At 37.1% G+C, this 25,284-nt stretch overlaps 1 protein-coding gene and 1 long non-coding RNA gene across 39 annotated transcripts in view; one reads left to right on the top strand and one right to left on the bottom strand.

Annotated features, from left to right (window-relative positions):
- PEX5L (peroxisomal biogenesis factor 5 like) overlaps positions 1-25,284 on the top strand; it is a 241,980-nt gene that overhangs the window by 114,045 nt on the left and 102,651 nt on the right. For 15 of the 36 annotated variants that reach the window (NM_001349399.2, NM_001349398.2, NM_001256751.2 and 12 more), the window contains one exon: positions 24,647-24,751. The exons of 15 other annotated variants lie outside the window; for them this stretch is intronic. Coding sequence is in view for 18 of the 21 variants with exons in the window: in NM_001349398.2 (NP_001336327.1) it covers positions 24,647-24,751 (105 nt within the window). In the remaining 3 variants the exon portion in view is untranslated. Of the gene's footprint in view, positions 1-22,157; positions 22,224-24,646; positions 24,752-25,284 lie in introns of all 36 variants that reach the window. 6 more of the 36 variants (NM_001349396.2, NM_001256750.2, NM_001349389.2 and 3 more) reach the window with 1 other exon arrangement.
- Positions 994-24,699, bottom strand: PEX5L-AS2 (PEX5L antisense RNA 2). Of its 3 annotated transcripts, NR_110061.1 has the most exons (4): positions 23,316-23,356; positions 22,649-22,702; positions 20,807-20,967; positions 994-1,343 (listed from the first exon to the last, which is right to left on the bottom strand). It is a non-coding gene; the product is annotated as a PEX5L antisense RNA 2 (long non-coding RNA). The 3 variants fall into 3 exon arrangements; NR_110059.1 differs by lacking the exons at positions 22,649-22,702; positions 23,316-23,356 and adding an exon at positions 24,542-24,699; NR_110060.1 differs by lacking the exon at positions 22,649-22,702.

Raw genomic sequence — 25,284 nt, 5'->3', positions numbered from 1 at the left:
ATGAAAGGCAAGGCTGATCTTTCTACATGAATTATGAAGATTTTTAAATTAGTTGAATAACATTCTGATCACAGCTTATAATAGTTTCAGTGAATATTTTGTCCTTCAAACAGACATATGATATGAGAATTAAGAAAAGGGCTGGGCACAGTGGCTCACGGCTGTAATCCCAGCACTTTGGGAGGCCGAAGTGGGCAGATCACTTGAGACCAGGAGTTTGAGACCAGCCTGGTCAACATGGTGAGACCCCGTCTCTACTAAAAATACAAAAAAGTAGCCAGCCAGGCATGGTGGCCCGTGCCTGTAATCCCAGCTACTGGGGAGGCTGAGGTGGGAGAATCACTTGAACTCAGGAGGCAGAGGTTGCGGTGAGCCGAGACCGCGCCACTGCACTCCAGCCTGGGCAACAGAGCAAGACTCCTTCAAAAAAAAAAAAAAAAAGAAAAGAAAAGGAAGCAGTGAAATTCTAAAAACAGCACTGGACAATCAGGAGAAAGCTATCTTCCTGGCACATTTAAATAAAGGAAGAGGTGTTTATCTTACATCCTGCTGTTGTCTCTTCCCGTAGCATCTTGTGCTTTCTCCTTAATGGCATTTACCATGCTTGAAATTATTTGCGTAATATCTCTCATCTCTTCCAAATCCTAAACTCCACAAGGATTACATCTGTCTGTATTGTTTGCCACATTCCCCCAGCCTGGGACAGTGCTTGGCAATATTTGTTGACTGGCTGATTTACTGCTCCATGATCCATCATCTTACAAGCAACAAATCATAATCCCAGCAGTTACAAGTCGGTCTAGTGAGCTCCAGAGAGAACTTTTTACAGAATATACATTATGTGTTGGGGGTGGGGGGGTGAGGAGAGGAGAGATAATTATGTGAATGCAATATGTTTTTGTGTCCCATTCATAAGCCTTTTCTGAAGCACATCTCTGAGATGCCTTCTTCCTGTTAAATGATTTCTGGGCTGGAATATAAAGAAAACACACATTGCTTGAGAGAAACTAGTTTAATGAGGCAAAAAATAAAAACATCTTGTGATTCCAATCCAGCTGTGTGGATATATCCTGCCAAAAGGTGTAGGAGTTGGAGTAGTAGGGGATGCGCATGAATGCAAATGCAAATGAATGTCTAGAGGCCCAGATGGACTGCAGGCTATATCAGGACGATCCAGTGTCTGTGTTCTCATTGTCATGCTCCAGATGACACAGTAGCTGTCCCTACCATTGTACACCAAGAGAGAGGATGCTGACTGAGTCATCTCTCTCAGATTCTTAGATAACGTATGTCTCTCTTCACTTTCATAGCTCTTGTGATGATACTTGGTAGGTTGCAAAGTACTGGAAGAATAGTCATAAAGATCAAGAGGTTAGACACGAAAAACTTCAGATGAACTCCAAGCAAATAATTGAACAGAATACATTTGTGATTTAGTTCAAATGTGAGTTGCCAGCATCAGAAAGATAGGAACTACTTGCACAGACTGATTCTTTAAGGAAAAGCCTTCATTCTGCGAGTTCCTTAAGCACCTGTTTGATTTACATGATGATGTTTGTTGTATTGTGCTCTAGTGTGACATGCTATTGGCTAATGTGGAAAGAGATACTTTTGGCTGATGTGATGCTTTTGGCTTACTGTGTCTTTCCACATTACCCAATGTGGAAAGTCCAAATTTTTAGGACTAGAGTCCTAAAAAATCCCATTTATTACCATGCCTCCCTTAAAGATATTTTTAGGACTTCATCCATTATGTTACCAAGTACCACCTTTTAGGGTACAATTTCCTAGAAGATTTATTTCTGGAAGAGCTGTATGTGTCTTGAGCAATTGGTTTGCTTCCTATCTTAAGAAAACCAAAAAACTGTGTAATTGATTAGGGTTCAGTGTCCCTAGTTAATAGTAAGGGGCTTAGGAAAATGGGACTTCATTGTTTTCTCCTTTGATTTTATACTGTGTAAAAAATACTGTGTATATATTATACTGTGTATACATTGTGTTTCCTTTTTCTATTTTATTAATTTTTAAAGTTAACTTATATCCATTATGTAGCAAGGTACAATTAAATTCATTCAAAAATACTTTCCGAGCATTTATTAAGTGCCAAGGAGTCTTTTAGATGATGGGGATTCCATATTGAACAAAATTAATATGGCTTCTGTACTTATGGAGCTTAAGTTTGTAAAGATGTGAAAAGTTTACTAAGGCGTGTCTTGAGAATAGATATGTATTCTACCAGTGATCTTGGGAATATAGTTTAACCTCTCTGAACAGATCTCCTTTTTCTAAAATAGAACAGGATAATACCTTTATTTTGTAAGATTTTTGCGAGGAGATCAAACACGTAAGGTTCACCTGTTAACCTGTTATATAACAGGTTATCTGTTAATGCCTATCCCTTTTCCCACTTCATAACATAAAATATTTTTTTCAAATGCTTCTGATTTAAACTCTGCATCACAAAAATAGATGTTTCAGATCCTCACTTAAAGCTGAGGGATGGATGCTTACACACAAATTTGATTTTACAAAAGGCCCAACCCAACTCAATCAAGAAGAAATTGAGAAGGGAAAGAAAGAAACTTGAGTATATTTCCCTCTAAAAAGAGCAGGATGAAGAAAGGAGAAACCACCTGGAAGGGAGCACGCTGGTTCTGATTGGGAAGAGAGATGACAGACAGACATAATGGAGGTTCCACTCAGATCAGAACTGTGAGGCTCCCTCTTTCCACTCCACTTGGTTTTGCCTCCAGAGAATAAATGTGAGAGCAGGGAGCCTGAAGGAACACCTCCTTCTTGTTGTTTTTCTAATGGACATTTTGCCAGGTGTCTCTGCACAGAGTTAAGAAAGGCAAGCACTTCTAAACTTAACTACTATCTTTAAAAAGTTGACCAAGCTCAGTGGCTCATGCCTGTAATCTCAACACTTTGGGAGTCTGAGGCAGGTGCATCACTTGAGGTCAGGAGTTCGAGACCAGCTTGGCCAACATGGTGAAACCCCATCTCTACTAAAAATACAAAAATTAGCTGAGCATGGTGGCACACACCTATAATCCCAGCTACTCGGGAGGCTGAGGCAGTAGAATCGCTTGAACCCGGGAGGCAGAGGTTGCAGTGAGCTGAGATCGCGCCACTGCACTCCAGCCTGGGTGACAGTGCAAGACTTCATCTCAGAAAAAACAGTTACTTGTTTTTAATTTGTTTTGGGTTTTTCTCTTCTTACCACAAAGATAGAGTTGAGTGTGGAAGTGCCTGCTTGTATGTCCAGATCATGACCACCTACTCAAGGCACATCGACTGCTGACCCAATGGCAGCCTAACCTATTTGCAGACGAATTACTCGAGGGGGAAGAAAAAATTCTACTAAGCTCTGACCCTGCATTCCTAAGCAGAATGGAGCCAGAGTTCCATCAAGCGTGACCCAGCGATGCCTGTGAAAGAGCCCCTAGTCATTTGCCAAAATGCAAGAACGAGCCCCTAACAAGGAGTAAGTCTGGGAAAGGTTTTCACAAGCCTAAAAGTGATTTCTATTTAGCTCATACATACTTATCAAGTACCTAGAGAGAGGCTGCTTGCTGTGGTAGTGGGAAGATCTCCAGCTTCAAAGTTAAGCAAACCCAGATTCAAATCTCACCACTGCCACTTTAACTTAAGTATTATTAAAGGAAGTATTAGAACCTACTTTGCTGGAGTGTTTCAAGGATTCCATTTGATCTCCCACATAAAGAGTTTGGCAGTGTCTTGTTACTTCCCTGACCTTGCTTTTCCACTTTACTGATAACTGATGTACACAAAAAACAATCCAGGATGTACAGATGTGAAGCCACTAGAGCATAGAATGAAATAGTACTTGACCAAGCCCTAGAACCTGTGGAATGTTCTTCCAAATCCACAGCTGTCCTTAAGCTGGCCTGAGATATACAGTACATTGGAGAATTGAGTAGAACTTGAGGACTCTGAAAAAATCTTATCTTTTCATTCCGTAAGAACCCTTTTCTTTTATTCTCTGCTGTCTGTGGATGTGTCACAGGAGTATCCACAGATACACACCAATTGTAGCATAGCACTTATACCATTGAAAATTCATGGTATTTGCTGTCTTGCCCAAGATGAGGGAGAGATGAGGGAGAAAGAAGAAAAAAAGAAGAAAGAAGAAGAAATTAATGATTCTCAAATGCCCACAATATTAACTTCCTGCACTGGGTTCTTTGGCTACAACACTGTGAAATGGGTGTCATTATTCCCATTTTAACAGATAAGAACAGAGAAGCTCAGAAAGGCAACCTTGCCACACCCTTCTAAGTGGAAGTACTAGGACTGAAACTTAGGCTTTTTGCCCCCTTGGTCCAGAGGGAGGTAGAAAGGGAGTTTTACTGATGAGCCACTTCAGTGACGCTTAAAAAAGCTACTGTGCCACAATGTCTTCAAGAATTTTATTTTAACATAGAGCTATCACAGTGCCTTCTAGAAGAAAGAGCATAAATTTGAAAGTCAGACGTACCTATCCCCAAATCCTGGATTTTACTATACCCACCAAATGTGTGACCTATATAAAAATATGAATGTATCCAGATTTTGCTACTTGGAATCCGTATGCTTTTGCTCAAGGAGAAGATAGATGACAGTGGAAATTGTGAAGTACCACCAAGTAGAACCTAGCGATAGTAGAGGGTCATGGCTGACAACATGGGCCCAAGAATGCACAAACTTGGCTTCTAATCCAGCTCTAATGAGAGGCAATAAAACATAGTAGTTAAAAGCACAGACCCTGAGGCCAGACCCTGGACTTTGTCCCCACTCTAACACTTACTAGTTCTTCCCAGGTAACCTCTCTGTGTCTCAGTTTCTGCATCTTTAAAATGGTCATAATGAAAGCATATACCTCAAAGAGTTGTAATTTAGGTCCAGTCATGCTCCACATAAAGACGTTTCAAGGCCAGGCGCAGTGGCTCACACCTTTAATCCCAGCACTTTGGGAGGCCGAGGCAGGTGGATCACCTGAGGTCGGGAGTTCAAGACCAGTCTGACCAACATGGAGAAGCCCTGTCTCTACTAAAAATACAAAATTAGCCAAGAATGGTGGCCCATGCCTGTAATCCCAGCTACTCAGGAGACTGAGGCAGGAGAATCGCTTGAACCCAGGAGGCGGATGTTGCGGTGAGCCGAGATCATGCCATTGCACTCCAGCCTGGGCAACTCCGTCTCAAAAAGCAAAACTCCGTCTCAAAAAAAAAAGACGTTTCAGTCAACAACAGACCACATATACGACAGTGGTCCCATGAGATTTTAATGGAACTGAAAAATTCCTATCACCTAGTGACATCATAGCAGTGCTAATGTCATAGCTCAATGCATTACTCCCTTGTCTGTGGTGATGCCGGTGAAGACAAATTACTGTGCTGCCAGATGTATAAGTATAGCACCTGCAATAATGTACAGCACATAATACTTGATCATGATAATAAACAACTATGTTGCTGGTTTATATATTTACTTAACTATACATTTTATCATTATTTTAGAGTATACTCCTTCAGCTTATTTTAAAAAAAAAAAAAAGTTAGCTGTAAAACAGCCTTAGGCAGGTCTGTAAGGAAGGATTCCCGAAGAAGACATTTTTATCATAGATGACAGATCCATGCATGTTATTGCCCCAGAAGACTTTCCAGTGGGACAAGATGTGGAGGTGGAAGAGAGTGACACTGAAGATCCTGACCCTGTGTAGGCCTAGGCTAATGAATGTGTTTGTGTCTTAGTTTTTAACAAGATTTTTAAAAAGGAAAAAAGAAAAAGAAAGAAATCTAAAAATAGAAAAAACCTTATAGAATAAGGATACACAGAAAATATATTTTTTTACAGCCATACAATGTGTTTGTATTTTAAGCTAAGTGTTATTACAAAAGGATCAAAAAGGGATTTTTTAGGTCGGGCATGGTGGTTCACTCCTGTAATCCCAGCACTTTAGGAGGCCGAGGCGGGTGGATCACCTGAGGTCAGAAGTTCGAGACCAGCCTGGCCAACATGGTGAAACTCCATCTCAACTAAAAATACAAAAATTCACCGGGAGTGGTGGTGTGCACCTGTAATCCTAGCCGCTCAGGAGGCTGAGGTGGGAGAATCACTTGAACTTAGGAGGCAGAGGTTGCAGTGAGCCGAGATCATGTCACTGCACTCCAGCCTCAGTGACAAAACGAGACGCTGTCTCAAAAACAAAGGGGGGGTGGTTAATTTAAAAACTTATAAAGTACAGCAGTTACAGTAAGCTAAGCTTAATTTAATTATTGAGGAAAGAAAAATTTTTTGTATAAATTTAGTGCAGCCTAAGGGTACAGTGTTTATAAAGTCTACAGTAGTATACAGTAATGTCTCAGGCCTTCAGACTCATTGACTCACCCAGAGCAGCTTGCAATCCTGCAAGTTTCATTCATGGTAAGTACCCTATATTGGTATACCATTTTTTTATTTTTTATATTATATTTTTACTCTACATTTTCTACATTTAGATATGTTTGGATACACAAATGCTTAACCATTGTGTTATAATTGCAAACAGTATTCAGTACAGTTACGTGCTATATGAGTTTGGAGTCTAAGAGCAATAGGTTATACCATATAGCTTAGATGTGTATGAGGCTATATCATCTGGGTTTTGGTAAGTACACTCTATAGTGTCCACACGACAATCAAATTGTTTAATAGTGCTTTTCTCAGACTGTATCCCTGTCATAAAGCAATGCATGACTGTACTATCAAAATATATATGTATGAAGTATATGGCACAACACCTGGCATATTTTAGATGCTCAATAAGTGATTATTATTACTACTACCATTACTACTACTGCTGCTATTACTAGGCTACTGGCTTTGATTTAAGTTATTCTCTCTGAGCTTCAAGTATCTCTTTTGTGAAATGAGGATATAATTGTATCCACTCAAAGAGGTGTTTGTGAGATTCAACTGGAAACTTTGTAACATGCTGAATACTATTTTGGTAGTTATTTTTATTAACTGGATGCTCTGATGCCCATCTCTTCTTTGGACCATCACACTCTTCAAATAAGTTTGCAGTTCTGAGTAGTTTCTTTAGAAGCAGAAATTGTTATATTCACTGTCACACACCAAATAAAGAAGTGCTCTATTCCTGGAGGCTTCAAAGTAGAGAATACATCTCATACACAGCCATCTTCTCCAGGGGTGACCTTTATAAACACGCTCCCTGTGCCTCCTTTTTTCTCAGATTGTTCAGGAAATTGTTTAATTCAGAAAGTCAGAAAATGCTCTCTACCTTCCTCCTGGCAGAACACATAAGCACTCTATTTTCACATAATACATCACTGCAATTTTCAACTTTTTCCAGTAATCTTCAAAATTGAGTGACTTTTCTGCACATCTCTCATCACTAAGGTAATTTGTGTTGGTTTCAATATCACTGAATACGAATGTACTAGTTCTTCCTTAAGGCATGTTCGATTAAAGTTATAGTTTCTTCTCTTTTATTTTATTTAATCTCTATGCCAGCTAGGTCTCCCCACATCTTCAGATCCAGACAAGATTGACTCAAAGCACTACTGCACGGTAAAATTCAAAACCTCCCATCCCAGCACTGCCTCACAAGATTTCTATGGATTCTGGGGATGCTAACTTCTCTGGTTCTGAGCTCCTGCTTCTGCTATATCAAAGTTTTTTGTGGATTTTTAAAAAATCATTCAACAAATATTTGAGTACCTACTCTGTGTCAGGTGCTTTTCTTGGCTTTATATGTATGACACTGAGCAAAGCATACAAAGGAATCACTTCCTTGTCTCCTTATTCCACACCTTGTCAATCTGAGTGCAAAACTTGGCTCCATTCTCAATCACAAGCAAAAAGGCTGCATCTTATAGAAGGTGTTTAAATTAAATTATTTCATTTAATTAGATAATGTAGAGGATTTTTTTTTAGCCAATCTTCTTTCTTTCCTTTCTCCCTGTCTAAACTGCTACTATATTTTAATTTAAAGTAAATATGATTTTCACTATCACTGCAAAGGCTTTGCAGAAATTATAAAAATGTCCCATGGCTGAGCCATAAATTCATAACAACCTTTCTTTTAGCTACAGAGATCAAAAGTTTTGAAATTATCACTGAGGAGAACTCCTTTAAATTCTTAGCCAGGAGCCATCACCATCCCTTGTCTTTGCCTCGGATGTTGGTGGAGAGGTTTGGGAAGGAGATGGTTTTATCATTCTGTAACCTGACTTTGGAAGAAACCTCAAAGAGTCTTAGGCAGATATATCACCTATCAATCCATTCATGCCTTCATTCATCCATCCAGTAAGCCTTCATTTAACACCTTTGTGCCCACATGACTGTGGCAACACAAAACAGAATGAGAACCAATATCCAACTTTAAGAAAATCATAGTGTAGACCTCCATTAAAAAAAAGTGGTGATTGTGCTGAATCTAGAAGAATACATGGAATTCACCAAGTAAAGATGACGAGAAGGGAATTCCAAGTGAAGGAAACAGCCTCTGCAGACAGAGCACAGTAACTTGGACCTCTAGAGACTTAATGTGTAATGGTGAGTAGTGTAGTATAGCTGGCTAGTGTAGTGCTGTCGGGGAGGAAGTGTTGGAAGAAGAGCCTGCACATCAAAGCAGAGAAAAGGGCTCCAAGAGTCCCTTTCCTCAAGAACATTCCATGATGCCAGGCAACTCTTACAGTTTGGACTATCCTCTGTGGAACTTTGGCACCCTGTAATAAGACTGACATTCTAAGAGCCATGTTTGCACCTAAGGAGATGTCTGCTATCTAAAACATCAATCTCTGTTAGTCAAAGAAAAATTCAGTTGGTGTATTTTTATCAGTCCTTCCTCTTGCCTGTGCAGTCACAAATATCATATACAGAGAAATCATATTTATAAAAGATCCTAGAGTTCTAAAGTATATAATTTCATGGCTCATTTTAGAAAAGGAGAAAGAGATAAAAATGTTAACATGATATGATATAACTTAAAAATAAAATAATTAACATTCACAGACTCTAAGCTGAAAAAAATTAATAAAATTCTATGGTACTAATTAAGAGTCCTAGCTAGACAATGAATTCTGTAATACACGAATCCAAGTTAAGTTCTTGCAAAAACTGTCAGTCACTTTCTTTGCTTACTGTGACATAGTTTTTGTTTTATTCTTGTAGCAAAAAACGCTATGATATTAAAATATCCAAATGCAAGAAATACATTTCTATTTCCAATTAAATATTCTCTAAGAAAATAAGCAACTTTTAATGAGGAAAAATGCAAACATCTTTATTTTCACTTTTCAAAGAAAAGCTCAAACTCTAAGCCTACTGAGCAAATTGTTTTAAGTTCTTGAGAAAAAAAGAAAAAACATGTCTGCAATTTTTAAATCTTGATGACTTAAATATAAAAAGCCCTACAACAGATTAGGTTAAGTTTTTACTGAAACTTAAAATCTCTTAAAATAATTTGCAATAAGATCTTTAAAGAAGTTTATTATAAATGGAAACAAAACCAGAAAATGTGTCTATGTTTTTATATCATTGAATAAATTACCCATAGACATATAATTTATACCTAAAGTAACTGTGATGGCCTAAGGAAAAGTAAGCCTTTGAAATAACTTCCTTCCATGACCTTGGTGGCAACATTCTGAGAAAATCAGCTGTTAAGTATAAGAAATTAAAAGCAAGTCTCTGTGTTTGGAAGTCTAGCAGAAGAAATACCATACAATTTTGATTAATGAGAACACTCAAAGGCATTTGGCTATTCTAATTAGCTGAAAATTTTCATCTCTTCAAGACTGACTAAAGGGAACAAAACACCTTTTCTTACTAGCAAGTCTTTCTAACATGTGTGAATACTTCATTCTACATTACTAAATACAATATGCTAAACCTAATTTTTTCTTTGAAGGATGAGGATATGACAGGCCTGAGGGCTGTTACCCACTTATCTTTCCTTAATGGATGTTTCCTTAGATATAGTTGTCAGAGTTGGGGCTGAATATATATTGACTGTGGACCATAACTTGGAATCTTTAGAATCCTTTAAACGAGCTGGTTTGCTTGTCATTTTTTCCTAAACATGAAATTTTTTGGAAAAAATAATTGGGAATGCTAGTTAATCAGGTTTTTTGTCTTATTGCACTTGAACAGGTTATATGTGACTAAAAGAAAATATTGTGATATTGTTAATAGGGGAGTGGAGATTCGACCAATTCTAAATTTTCAAACATAAATTCTAATAGGCTAAAACCATTCTGAGCTTTCTTCAATTCAGTGTTTATAGGAATAGCTTCAGTGGAGGACCTAAAACCTCTTCTGCTTTCTGAGAACCTTTTAAAAGTTTAATTTAAATAAATAGCATATGCTTATGTAAGAATAACTAGGATCTTAAACTTAAAGGATTAATTTTTTGTACATATAACATCTACCTAGAATTAGTATCAATTTCAACCTGTCTCATAAAACATCAGTATCATGTAGTTGCTTTTATCTTTGGACCCAAAAGGCCATAATTCATTATTTAGCAGATTGAACTGAGTTCAGGCCAAATCACTTTTAAATGTTAATTTAGTCTCTTTTGATATATATCTGAGAGTTAGAAAGAAGAAAATGTAGGGGTTAGTGGGGAGTCCATTTATAGCAGATTGAGAAAAACTTTTAAGCAACTTGAAACCAATATTATCAAATTACTCTTCCATTAACAATGGCTTGAGACACAGAGTATGGGCATATTTCCAGTATAGGAGATAGAGAGATACAGGCAATCATGTTTCATGCCCAGTAAAGAGTAGAAATGATCCAATACCTTTATGAACTAAACAGTCCACCAAAGTGTTCTAGTCTTTCCAAATTGGAAACAAGATATGTGATGCCTATTTATAATTCATCAGACAAACCAGTGTACTAATTAGTAAAAATATATAGTTTTGGAATTGCTTGAACTATTCCAGCAGTCTTAAAGTCTTCTATTTTGAATCCTTTCTTAGACTTTGAAAGTTGAAAGTCATCTTTTTTGTTGTGATTATATAACTGTGGTTGGATAGATTTCCTAACATGGTTCTATATTTGTCAATCCTAGAGCACATAAAACAGTCTGTGAATTCATTAGCAATCTTACGGTACCTTGGAGTCTTGCAACTGCAACTATAATGGACCAGATCCAGACTTGCTTTGGATTTCTATTGTTAGGAGAAGTCCATTAACTTTTTCATTATAGTGTAGCATTATCAAGTTACTATTTCAAATTATAAATAGTCCTTTCAGATTCTATGGACTCCCAAATAGACATGGAAAATAATTTACTCAGCTAACAGGATTTTGCTGATTTATAATATTATTAGAGCGTATTGAATTCTTACTTTTACATATATTACCTAGTTTATCCTCACAAAAACTCTGCCATGTCAGTAAGGCAGTTATTAGTATCATTGGCACTCTCCAACTTAGAGAAAAAAAAGATCTCTGCCCGAGATCACACAAGAAAGTATTATTGTTTCTGAGTCTCAAACTCCTTGTTTCCCTGCACCATGTCCCATGTTCTATCAACAGAAACCCCGCCTAACCTCAGCAAGCACACATATAAAGCTATGTTGCCACATTCCACTGGGCTAGGGTATCCCTCAGCAGCTTGGAATTGATAAGCAAACAGAATAACACACGAGAAAAGGCAGGCACTTGACAACTGTTTTCTTCCCCTTCTGTTTTGTCAGTTAAAGCAAACCTCTAAGAACAGAAATATGGAATATAGATTGTGGGACTTGAGTCTAAGCACAGCCCAGACACTGGCTTCAAAACCACTGGAATTTTTCTGTCTGGAGTGCGCTACCTGGTTGTACTCCTAGGCTAGCCTCTCATCTTCATGAATGTCAATAAGTATGGTGGGGAAGAGAATTGAGAGGGTTTTTTTTCTTTTAATAAGTGCTTAAATGGTAGCTCCAAGAGCAAACTTCATACGTGTATTGACATTTATAAGAGGTGTTCTACATTTGAAATGAATCCATACTGTGATTATAACCAGAAAGTTTGACAGAAAAGTTAAATGAACTTGTACATCATCTGCATACCCATAGAAAGGTGAATTATACATTTATGGTGATTAGAAAAAGGGAAACTGGCTTTATTAAAATATTCTGCCACTCCCAGGGTTCTAACTCATCTAAAGTCCCCCATGGATATCATCTAAGCTAATGTCTTCATTTATAAGTTGAAACGAGTCAGGCTGTGTCTGACAGCAGAGACAAGGTGTAAGCCCTACCCCAGAATATGCTACAGAGATACTGGCAAGAGCTTTCTTCAAATAAAATTTAAAAACTATCAGTGGTACAGGATTATTTTCCAAATGTTCTTTTTTTAATTTGTTTTCTGTTTACATACATATCAACTATATATCTTGACTAATGTCTATATTAACTAATAGAAGCCTCTAAGTGTATATAATTTAATAAACTTTTAGCTGGAAACAAATAGCTTCCTTGGAGCATTCACATTTAGAAATCAAAAGAAATTTGCTTTTTCACAAGAAAATTGTTTTCAAGCAGTTCAAAACTGTAATTTGAGGTCATGTGACTAAAGCCTCCATTTGGTGAGAGAAAGCACAGCTCTGCTGGCACTGAATGACCACTTGAGGTACAATCTTCATTTACATTTATTTTGGGCAATTCTCCTTGACAGTCAGGTCATGGCATGTTGTAGGAGGCCAAGGCTTCCAAATTTCTGGTTTTCAATCCCTATGAAGTCCTTTTGAACAGACTAGAAACCACAAAAGGAATTAGCTAAGAAGGCTTAAAGTAACATTGTTAGTGAATTCTTTCTGGATTTTTCTAAACAGAGATGTAAGAGTAAGACCGCTTCGTAGTCATTCATGGGTGGTTGTTCTATTACTGTTTAGTTTACTAGGGCTTCCATGACAAAGTACCACAGATTGGTGGCTTAAGCCATAGAAATTTATTTTATTTTCTCCCGTTTCTGGAGGCTGAAGGCTTGAGATCAAGGTGTGGGCAGGGTTGGTTTCTTCAGAGGCCTCCCTCCTTGGCTGTCAGTGGATGTCTTCTCCCTGTGTCTTCACATGGTCTTCCCTCTGTGAATGTCTGTGTCTTAATTTCCTTTTCTTATAAGAATACCAGTCATATTGGATTAGGACCCACTCCAATGACTTCCTTTTAACTTAATTACCTCTTTAACAACCCTGTTTCCAAACACAGTCACAGTCTTAAATACTGGGGCTTAGTATCTATGAGATAGGAAAACCTATGATTTTGGGAGTACACAACTCAGCTCCTGACAGTTATTAATCCCAAATCATTAGAAACTGGTTTGTTATTATCTGCTTGTGGCTACATTCAGCATCCTGGTCTTGCTTCTGCTCCTTGATCTCTGTACCCTATTAGTCTCTTTTAATTTAAGTCATCTCAACACTTGTCTTTGCTTTGACTTAAGTCATCTCAACTTGGCTACAGAGACTCAGACTTCCTCTTAATTTGCTCATGGATAACGCATTTTCTCTGTACATTCATTATTTGCTGCTTCTATTGCTGATATTTAAGTCTCTCTGCTCTTTTCACATCTATTTTTCAGTTTATTTTATTTGGTCTTCTTAGGTCCCCTGTGGCTTCTAAATTCAAGTTCATTGCAGTGTTCTCTATAATTGCCCTAAACTGGAAGAACTCAAATATCCATCAACAGTTAAATGGGTAAATTGTGGTACATTCAGATGATAGAATGCTCTGCAACAGTAAGACTAGGAGAACCATTGCCACTTATTCCATGGATGAATACAAGCAAAAGATTGCATACTTTGCCACCTGTCTCATAGAGACAATTAAGCCAACAGAGCCCATGAGCTTAGCAGTCATAGTTCATAGTCAATTCATATTTCAGTACCTACTATGTGCTGGGCATTATGGAAGGTGCTTTCATGTGTACTATTTCATGTAATTCTCAAAAATCTATGAAGTAGACAGTAATGCCATCCTATTTTCAAAAGATAAAACAGCCAACCCAAATGTCCAACAATGATAGACTGGATAAAGAAAATGTGGCACATATACACCATGGAATACTATGCAGCCATAAAAAATGATGAGTTCACGTCCTTTGTAGGGACATGGATGAAGCTGGAAATCATCATTCTCAGCAAACTATCGCAAGGACAAAAAACCAAACACCACATATTCTCACTCATAGGTGGGAATTGAACAATGAGAACACATGGACACAGGAAGGGGAATATCACACACTGGGGCTTGTCATGGAGTAGGGGGAGGGGGGAGGGATAGCATTAGGAGATATACCTAATGTAAATGATGAGTTAAGGGGTGCAGCACACCAACATGGCACATGTATACATATGTGACAAACCTGCACGTTGTGCACATGTACCCTAAAACTTAAAGTATAACAATAATAAAATAAAAAAAGATAAAACAGAAGTTTAGAGAGAAGAGTTTATAAAAGGCAGAGCTGGGATTGAAACTCCTCTCTTCTGACTCCAGTCTGGGTGTTGGTGCCAACATGCCACGTGGCCTTCCTACTTTCTCCTCCACTGACCACTTAGGCTCCACTGGCTCCATTAGCTGGTAATCACCTTGACCACCCCCAGCTACACGCTGACTGTGGCTTGCAGCTTTAAGATCTTTCTATACTTTTCCTAACTCTTCTCCACAAAGTGAGAGACTATTATTCATCTGCTTTTAAGGAACCCAAGAGCATTATGAGGAGCCAACCCACACGTTGCCAATGACCCCCAGAGAAATGTGGATAAGCAGAGGTGCCAGAGTCAATTCCACAATTTTAGAATAGGAATTCCCAAAGTCTCAGCTTCTCTCTTGGAGCTGTTTCAGGGAAGACAGGCAGATGGAGTACCTTAGCTGCAGACCTTCTTGGCTAGTAGCTTGTAAACTTGGCCTAGTTTCTGTAGTTTACTTTCTTAAGTTATATCAACAAAACTCGGACATTTGGTGACTGGGGAACCAGCTGATAAAAACACTTGCACCTGCCAGAAAATGGGGAAAGCCACAGAGAAGGCTACTGAATAGTCAGGCTTCAACTTGAGTCTACAATTCTGGCTCAGCAATTAGCAGTAGAATGTGCCTTAAACATTCATAAAGGGGGTGAATTCCAATTCACTAGTTAATTGCCTTCCTCTGGAATAAAAATGATATAGTATAATTCTACCTTATGACATCTGGATAAGTTTGCTCTTAGATTCAATAATTTAGTAACAATATTTAACATACAGTTTTTTTCATCTTTAAAAAAAGGAGGGAAGACGAGACATGATGGCTCATGCCTGTAATCTCAGCACAATGAGAGGCCAAGACAGGAGGATCACTTGAGGCCAGGAGTTTGAGACCAGCCTGGGCAACATAGCGAGACTCCACCTCTACCAAAAAAATTAAAAATTAGCCAAACACGGTGGTGCACACCTGTAGTCATAGCTACTCAGAAGGCTGAGGCAGGAGGATCACTTGAGTACAAGAGCTCAAGTTTACAGTGAGCTATGATTGCGCCACTGAACTTCAGCCTGGGCAACAGAGACCCCATCTCAAAACTAAAACAAAGAAAAAAAAGGAGAATTTAATCTTCTTGCTCCAAGATAATGACCTTCAACATTTAATGGCCTCCAATTTAGTAGGAGGATGAAATTCTTCCTTGTGACTTTTTTTTTTAATTTGGTATATATATTTTATTTACTAGAGGCAAGAAATTGGGGAAATACATCTAATCCCTGATAAGTAAAAGAATTCCAAAGGTAATCATATGAATCCAAGGGAACATTTTCATTGTCTTGACCCCATATTTACCTGCAGGGAATCTTGTTTATTATATTTACTTTGGAATACTTTCCAATCATAAAATACACTGAGAAACCAGGCCTCAAGACCTCTTTCCCTACTTCCTTTCCAAAAGAGGCTATGTCTCACCTCCCTCTATGCCCAAAACACCATTGCTTCAGCATAGTCTAAGCAACTACCTATGTTGATGATGAATGATTCTCATGCTTTACTTTCTCTTGAATGTTAAGATGTCCCTCCATTTGTGCAAGTAAGGTACAAACAGTCTAGAGTTCTTATATTTGGGGAGGCAGGGCAGAATTTTTAGAAAAAGTAATTTTTATATCTTTGTATTTTAGTCATTTTCCTTTACTTAAAAATAACACCAAAAAAAATGCCTGTTTGCAAATGATCTGAGATATTTGACAAGGAATTGAAAAATAATACCAATAACCCTTTAATTGGTATTACATTTTTTGTTACATATTTCACACAATCCTCAAAGGCCTCTCAAACTATAACAAATTTGGGATTTATCATATAAAAAATAAAACAACATATCTTTCTACATTTACTTATTAATTATGAAATATGTATTATTTATGCCAGCCTCAATGTAAGGCCAAAGGCAAAAGAAAAAAATGTTTTTAAGATAGACCACCCTAGATAGGAAAAGTTGCTTGCAGGTGTATAATAGAGATGCTCATCCTTAGGATAAAATAATCTCTAGTAACTTAGAACCACATTCATCAGAGGAAGCCTGATATTAAAACTTTACTGATTCAAAGCCAGCTATACATGAATGAAGATCAAGTGCTATTGCCTTGACCATTGTGGTAAGATTGCTTGGAAAACAAAGAGGGTAAATAAGTCCTGGGACATGGTAAGAGTGAGATGGGGGAATGTTTAATCCTCTCAAAAGAACAAACAAATGGTAAATTGTTTGTGGACAAAGGGATATTATTAATTAAAAATAAAGCCTTATCTGTCCTTCGGAGCAAGTTTTAAGCATCTTTACCCGGCAACATCTTATTAATTTTAATGAATTTTTATTTAGGTGCTTGAAACTATTTTATTTCCTTAAAAGTCTAATTAAAACTTTTCATCTAATTCAAAATCACCTTCTATCAAAGTTGGCCATATAATGTAATTTCAGTATGAAATAATTTGAAAAAGATATCCAGTACATATATTTATTGAGTGCACTTGAGCGTTTATGTGCCCATAGAGGACTATACCAAACAATGTGGAAATGGTTCAGAAGATATTAACACAATCTTTGCTCTCATAAGGCAGTTTCATTAGTGAGACACAGCCAAGGAATAGTTTACAAAATAAAAGATAATAACAAGGTCCCAAGGAGGAGCTTAGTCTGCAGGCACAACTCAGAAATTTGGGGTATTGGACAGTTCTGTTCCTCAAGTGACCAACTGCATCGTCAGGAAAAAAAAAAATGGCAAGAACTTCTTTGGAGCCAATCAGTGACTCTGGTTTTTAAAGACTAATAGACTAAATTTTTAACAACCACCACAAAAAAAGGACACAGATTGGCGGGGCGCGGTGGCTCACGCCTGTAATCCCAGCACTTTGGGAGGTCGAGGCGGGCGGATCACGAGACCATCCTGGCTAACACGGTGAAACCCCGTCTCTACTAAAAACACAAAAAAATTAGCCGGGCGTGGTGGCGGGCGCCTGTAGTTCCAGCTACTCGGGAGACTGAGGCAGGAGAATGGCTTGAACCTGGGAGGCAGAGCTTGCAGTGAGCCAAGATCGCGCCACTGCACTCCAGCCTGGGCGACAGAGCGAGACTCCATCTCAAAAAAAAAAAAAGGACACAGATTGACTCAACTTCCTCAGAAGTGCCCCTGGATGGTCAGGAGTCCACCCTGAGGCAGGCTGAGGCCTGTTGTCTGGTGGAGGGGTTACATTTAGAGTAAGCATGGATATTACTTGCCAATGCTTTCTGCCTCAGGTCTAAAGGGTCCAGGCTTTTAGAGAGTGTGTTTTAAGAACTACAAGATGAAAGCTGCTGTTTGAGCACATGCAATTATTGTTTGTCAATTTAAAAAAAATTGTTTCAAAGGCTTGTGAGTACTGTTAGGAAAGATTTCCTTAACAAAAACAGTGAGGCCAGCAGCAGTAGCCAAAGGGGCTATTAGGGCAGGAAGAGCCATGATGGGCATGCAGGAGGGTGGAAGCAGCATAGATCACCCAGAGACAACCAGGACAGCCACTCCAGGGACAGCACAGCAGCAGTAGGGAAAGCACACTGACTGTCGAGGAGACGACCCCAACTCAGAAGGAGAAGGGCCAATTTATCCACTTGGCACAGTGGACACAGTGCATAGGGCCCATAATACTGTTAAGCACCCACGAAAATGATTTAACTTCACTCTCCCTTAAAATCAGAACCCCCCAAAATGGACTATTTTGTAACAATTAATATGTAATAATAAGTACAGTCTGGATTATTTTTGTCTTTATCCCAATGTAGTAATAGAATATGATTTTTTTAAGGCAGTAGCTCGTGAAGCCAAAAGTGCCTAGGGCCCATGAAAGTCATAATCTCACCCTGCTCCAATCATTCAGACCAAGGAAAGTGAGTATACATATGGTGGCCATGGAATTCCAGTAATGTTCATAAGTGGAGGCTTAGAATCAAAGACCGTAGAGATTGGTATCCATGACTTTCTCCCACCTGCTCCCTTCCCCCACTTGATCACATTCCCAGTCTGGGTAAAACAAATAGTGTCAATTAACACAAAACACAAATGGAAGGTCCAGGAGTTATATAATAGAATGTAATTAGTGTAACTCCTCATTAATCCCAGAAGACTTCCTAGAAAAGATGATGGCTGAAGAAATGTGCACCTGTTGCATGGAGAAAGCAATGCTGGAGGGGAAAAAGAGACAGTAAGGGAGAAATACATAAAGGGTCAACTGGAAATCTTTCTTTTCAATACCCTGTGTCATTATATTAAATAGATAGGCACCAATTTCTTTTCTGCAACTTGACTACCCTGATTAAGGAATTGTAAATCACATTTTCCAGCTGCAAACAGATCACTGAACCAATGGTAAATTCATCATGGATTGTAAATTCCACATATGAATCTCTATTTAAGACAAGCAAATTCTGTCCATGCTTCCCAGTTGTTTACACCTAGATCTGTGCTTCTTTCAGAATGTTTAGAAACAAGGATTGACCAGTATGTCAAAATTTAGCTATTTGTACCACTTTTAAAACTTACAAAACATTCTGTTGGGAAGGAAATAAGACAGAACCAACATGTCCTGAACCCTAATTTGTGTTGGAAGAAATCTACAGGAGCACACTTTACTGGGAAAGGACACTGCAAAATATTGCCCTGACCTTTTCCTGTGTTGGGAGTTTGAAGAGAGCATGACACTTACGACACTAACTTTGACATTTAGCTCGCCAAGTGAAAGAAGATTATCCTGCTTCTGTGCATGACAGACAAGAGCAACCATCAAAAATTAGCCTTTTGGTGGCTAGTTTTTTGCAGGTGCTTAATCCAGGGTCCAGAATTTTTTAGTATATGCAAAACTAAAGACCGTGCCAGGTATGGTGACTCACACCTGTAATCCCAGAACCCTGGAAGACTAAGGCAGGAAGATTGCTTGAGCCCAGGAGTTTGAGGCCAGCCTGGGCAGCATAGTAAAACTCCATTTCTAAGAAAAAAATTTTTTTAAATTAATTAGCAGAGTGTGGTGGCACACACCTGTAGTCTCAGCTACTTAGGAAGCTGAGGTGGGAGGATCCACATGAGCCGAGGAGGTTGAGGTTGCAGTGAACCGAGATCACACCACTGCACTCCAGCCTGGGTGACAGAGCGAGACACTGTCTCAAAAACAAACAAACAAACAAAAATATATAGATGGCAGGAGTTTGTTTACATGTATGTATACATAAAGAAATATATTCAATATATTCATACTTGTAGGCTTGATCTTAATAGGTCTATTCTTTAAATATTCAGCCTAAAAAATTGTTTAATTGCTGGTATTATAAAATAAAATAATTTTTTTAAAAAAATTCATGAAAATATTAGAGTTGTTAATTTTGTTTTCCTAGTTCTGTTTTTTATCAATTTTTGGCAAGAAGTATATTAATTTTTATAATCAGAACAAAAGGAGGGCTATTTTGAAAATTCATATGTTAGATAATTTTGGGTTGGCAGAGATGTCTAGTATTGTAGTCTTTTACTTTTCCTCTAATCTAACCTATCTCAATTTCTTCTGTTTAATATCTCTGATAAAGAAACTCTGGATAATTGTTGAGAGTTTTAAAAATAATGAAAATAAGTTTTAAATTACAAATTCCTTGGTAGCAGTAATAGAATCTGCAACTACACCAGTGGCCTGTGTAACTGTGGAATTGCATACTTTAAGTATTTTATGCACCAAAACGGATCTCAAGAAAGTCTTAGTAAAAGTGGCATTTAATGGCATTTAGCTAGCATTTAATAAGAATTAGAGAGATGCTAAAGCGTATAAACCTACTAAGATCTACAGAATAAAAAAGAAGTTTGTATATATATGAAATACTTAGGTTACTTTTCTGTGAAGATAAAAGCAGCAAAAGCATTTTGTTAGAAACGTGCTTGTGAGTGAAGTTATTGACCATTCCAGACTAGAGAAAGAAGATATTTCTCAGAAAATGTTTGCCTATGTGATTATAGTGAGAAGTGGCTGCCGCCCCAAATCTGAGCGAGATCATGAACAACGGACATTTATGGCAGTCAGAGAGGGCAGCAGGGAGAGCCCTCCAGCCTCACTAAGCCACGTGAACAGACACCGGTATGGTAGAGACGAAGCAGAAAAGCCTGGAAAACAGGTCTGGGTTCCTGTCCTGGCTCGGCCACAGAATGGCTTTGAAGCCTTGGCCACATCATACTGTCTCTGGGCTTTGGTGTCCTCAACTATCTATGGAAGATAATATCTACCCCACAGAGTTACCACCACAAGATCAAATAAATGAAATTATGTCAAACATTTACCAGAGTGCCCAGCGCGTGGTCGCCTCTTGAAACAGTTTAGCCCCTTCCCTGTGAAACAGATCCAACCTTTCTCATCTGAAGCATCTGGTGGTTCTACAGCCTGGTATCCAGCCGGAGAGGGTCCTGTGATGTCCAGTATTGTGTATGCTGTTTCTTATGTTCTGTATTTTAAAAACGGAAATAAGTGGATCATGACTTGGTTTTCTTAATAAATGTTAATGGCACTGCTAGACTCCCTGTGTTTCATCCATTTGTGCCTGCTCTTATAATAGAACCTAATAAAAAGATTATTCTCTAGAATTATTATCTGTTAGGAAAGCTGTCATTCTGTATATTTCCTAAGTGAAGAAACAAATGACGGAAGAAATAAAAATATCAAATAATTTTCCACAGGAAAGCATTGAGAAAAATGTTTCCCCTTAATGTTGTTATTGTTTTTCCAGTCAACGTTATTTCAAGAAATTAAACCAGGAAGTGGGAAAAAGTGATTTTGAAATATTACTTGAAAAGAAATAGGCTGAAATTATTGCTGGAGGATACCACAATATGATAATCAACTTCTAAAATGTCACTATTCTTTTCCATTGTTGCTGAGTGGCATAGAAGCATATAGACTTAATGTTATCTAAAGTTTATAAACTGCTTATATGCTTGAATGTATATTCAGTGTATATTTTATTTTGTCTGTCTTCATGTTGTCTCACATAATAGATGAAAACCGACCCTTTGGTGTGGTTATATTTTGAAAACTGAGTTTGAAGTCTGAACAATTACATATATATCTTACAATGTTTTTGAAAATTGAGTCTGAAGTCTGAACAATTACATATATATCTTACAATGTTTTTGAAAATTGAGTCTGAAGTCTGAACAATTACATATATATCTTACAATGTTTTAAGCTACTGCCTTCAAAAAAGAAAGAAACCTGCACAGTTATATTGTCATCAGCCCTGCAGAGCTGCTGATAAGCAAATTTGTAAAGTTCCATGAATTGCCAAGCCAATTATCAGTCAGGTTCTGATTTCTGGAAGCATTATCCCACGAGATAAATAGACAAGTCAGAAATAACACAGCTTGATTTTAAGATAACAGGTGGAGGAGGCAATTTGATTTGGGGGAAATCTTGCATTGATACATGAGTGTATTCACTTGATTTGGCAGTGGTTTTAGACACTGTATCTGGTACCATGGAGATGTCATTGTGGCAGACCTTCCCATTCTGTCCTCAGACTGTACCGCACTTGTAAAACAGTGACGCTCATGGGGTATTATCGCAAAAGCCAAAAAAGGCTGTAAAGAAAAAAGTTGCTAGCAGGCACTAACATGGGTGTGTCATGACTCTTTTCAGGTAGTAGGTGTAACCTTGAAGAAAAAGTGGCACTGTCTTCAAAAAAGTGACCTGACCCTGGCTTTGGTGGGTTTTTTCTGCAAGAAATAAAAAGCACCGCATGTATTTATTGTACATCCTTTCTAGCTGACCACTGCTTTGTTCTAGAGTTCAGCATGAAAGGACTAATTTTTGTTTTGTTTTTGTTTTTGTTTTAGTGAAATGGCATGTCCCTTGCTAACTCTAGCTATTATAGTTGCACATGTAAAAAAGTATCTCTATGTAGTTTATGGATTGGTAGCATTTCAAATAAATAATGTACTGAAAAATTGACCTGAAATTTTTTGAGATGCTTATCAATTGACATTTTTTCTTAGCCCAAGAAAAGAATCTAAATTATTATTTTCTTAAATTAAATTATACCTTGTAACATTAGATTTGTTATTTTAAATATAATAGGAATTGAAATATAAGCATGCCACTTTGTTTATTGCTATATTACTAGAACTTACTGAAGCATGGAAAGAATTCTTCACAAATGACTTTGCTCTCTTGAAAAACGTAAGCTGCAAAAATATTTGTTATAAACCATATTTAGTCTGTAAATGAGTGTAGCTTATAAAGATGTACTAAGTTTATAGCGTGTGATGTTTCATCCAAATAATTTTTATATTTTGATAAAATGTAAACAAGTTATAGTGCCATAATAAATCTTTTCCCAGAATTCAGAATTGTTTGCATCTCCATTTTAGGAAGTTCACATTGCTTCATTAAAGAAGAAACCTGGAATCATTGTGCACCTCAATTTGTTATGCAATGAATCAAGTTATCCTTTATTCTTCCAGAAGTCAGTTATTCTATGAATTGTGGCCATATAAACTTTTCAAAACACATACATATATGAAAATTACTACTGACATATCTGCTGAATAAAATCTCTAGTATTTGATATTCCATCTTGGAAATAACACATTATAATTCAATAATGCTAGTTATAAAGTCAAAACAAAACAAAGAAACAAACTTTCAGCATTGTAAACAGATACACACATTTAAAAATCTATTAGCTATACAAAAAGTTTTTCTTTGTTCTCATAAAGAAAAGCTGCCTCTGGCTACATTTTAGAAAGTCAGTGCCTGAGAAAATGGATAATGTTTTGATCCCTAGAGTAAACCTACCTTCTAAATACTTAAAGCCCTTTGAAAGCACAAGATAATGATGTAATTGTATCCTTTTTGTTGCATGGAAACGATCAAGCTTTATTAAGTTCTGAGTTAATATCAACCCTGGCTCTTAATTCCCTTTTCCAATATTAGACCCCCATATGTCGGTTTTCGTTTCTCTGCCTGTGATAGGTCTGTCTGCTACATTTGTATTTTAAGTAGATTTACAACACAAATATTCATATCTTTTCTTAGTATAAAATTATTTTCTTCAGGGAGGCTTTACCCAGAGACCTGAGAAAATTGAAGTTTTTGTTTTTAAAGTATTTAAGGATTATTTAATTTTTACATAGTATGAAATTTTTCTAATTGGGATGGAAAGGTAATATTTTGGGGGGCTTTCCCATTATACCATATCTAGTCTCAAAAAATGTAATAATCTGGTAAACTCAAATAACAGAAAGCCACCATATCCCTTTACAGTTTATAATTCTACTTCTTTGAGACAAATAACATAGGGATATGTATGTGTTTGTATACATATTATCTATATATATACATATACATTTGTATCTATAGATATATAGAGAGATATAGATTAGTGCCACAATATTAATTATCCTTTACGTCAGTTATGGATTATCCTTTACGTATTAATTATCCTTTATGTCTGTATTTATGGGGTTCTTCAGTTAAAAGACACTTCTAAAACTCTATTAAAATTATTTGGTCTCAAAAACATTGAAAGTTGCAAAATGTTTTTTTCATGAAGTTTATACCATCTCCACAAAACAGACTGGGTGAATTACTGTTATGTCAAGCCACTGGAGGATTTTTAGATATTTTGCAACATTTTTACTCTTTTTATCCCAATCCACTCAAAAATGGCAAAGACTCCAGAGATCACCCAGCAAAAGCCCTCTGTGGGAGTTGGATCCTGCTTCTAATCTCTATCCCAAACTCCTGTCATTCAAAATATTTAGGAATTATGTAGTAATAATTTATAAATGAACGTAGCAGGCAACCCATAGTGTTTTTAAATTGATATTACAAAAAATTCATGTCATGTTAATTTCCTTAAAACATATTATACATATAAAATACTATGTTAAAATTAAATGTAATATGTCAGCTGTAAAGGGGAAAAAGTAGCTAACTAAAAGTTCACAAATAATCTTTTTTCAGATTTTGTGTGTTTTCTCCTCAGCCAAAAGCCTCAAGATTCACTTGCAGCAGCCTACCTCTTCATTTATGTTGGATTGCTCTTTAAACATTAGAATATCTTGTAATAAATAATAAGTTAAAGATCTCTCCTGACACAGTCATTGTTGATTTCACTGTTATAGGGAAAAGGCTCTAGGGCGGCAGATAAGGCTGTTGCCATGGTGATGAAGGAGATACCGAGGGAGGAGTCTGCTGAAGAAAAGCCCCTCCTTACTATGACATCACAGGTGGGCAGACCCATAGGGTTTCTGTAGGAAGCTGACATATGTTAATATATCAGACATTGTGATTTTTAACTAGAAAAAAAAAACTTTAACTCTTGAACCAATTTTTTTAAAGACAGTTTCAATGAAACAATTATACAAATATAGATGAAAACCAAAATTGCTAAAAAAAGAAAAATTCACCATCTAGTTATTTATTTGTGAATATTAATTTCATTACTCAACTTTAGTTAAGACAAAAGAGAAAGAGAATATATGTGCAAGTAAAACATGTTGCTTCTTTATAAAGGAGTCTTGTTAAAAACTTTGGGAAAGAAATAACAATTAAGCTAACAGTACATTTGAACAAAAAAAAATCAAATTCCTATGAATAAAAACAAGTTATATTGTATACATATGTCAGTTTACCAGTAGAATATCTAAATTTTCTTAAATGTTAAATATATTTATGTTGTGACTATGCATACTACATATATGTCTATACATATTTATGTGGATAACTAATTTACAGGAATGAGCCAGAAGTCCCTGAGTCC

This window comes from Homo sapiens, chromosome 3, assembly GCF_000001405.40.
Source record: "Homo sapiens chromosome 3, GRCh38.p14 Primary Assembly".
In the NCBI taxonomy this organism is placed as follows: Eukaryota; Metazoa; Chordata; class Mammalia; order Primates; family Hominidae; genus Homo; species Homo sapiens.
Note: the sequence above shows the minus strand (reverse complement) of the source record. Positions and strands in the feature narration are given on the sequence as shown.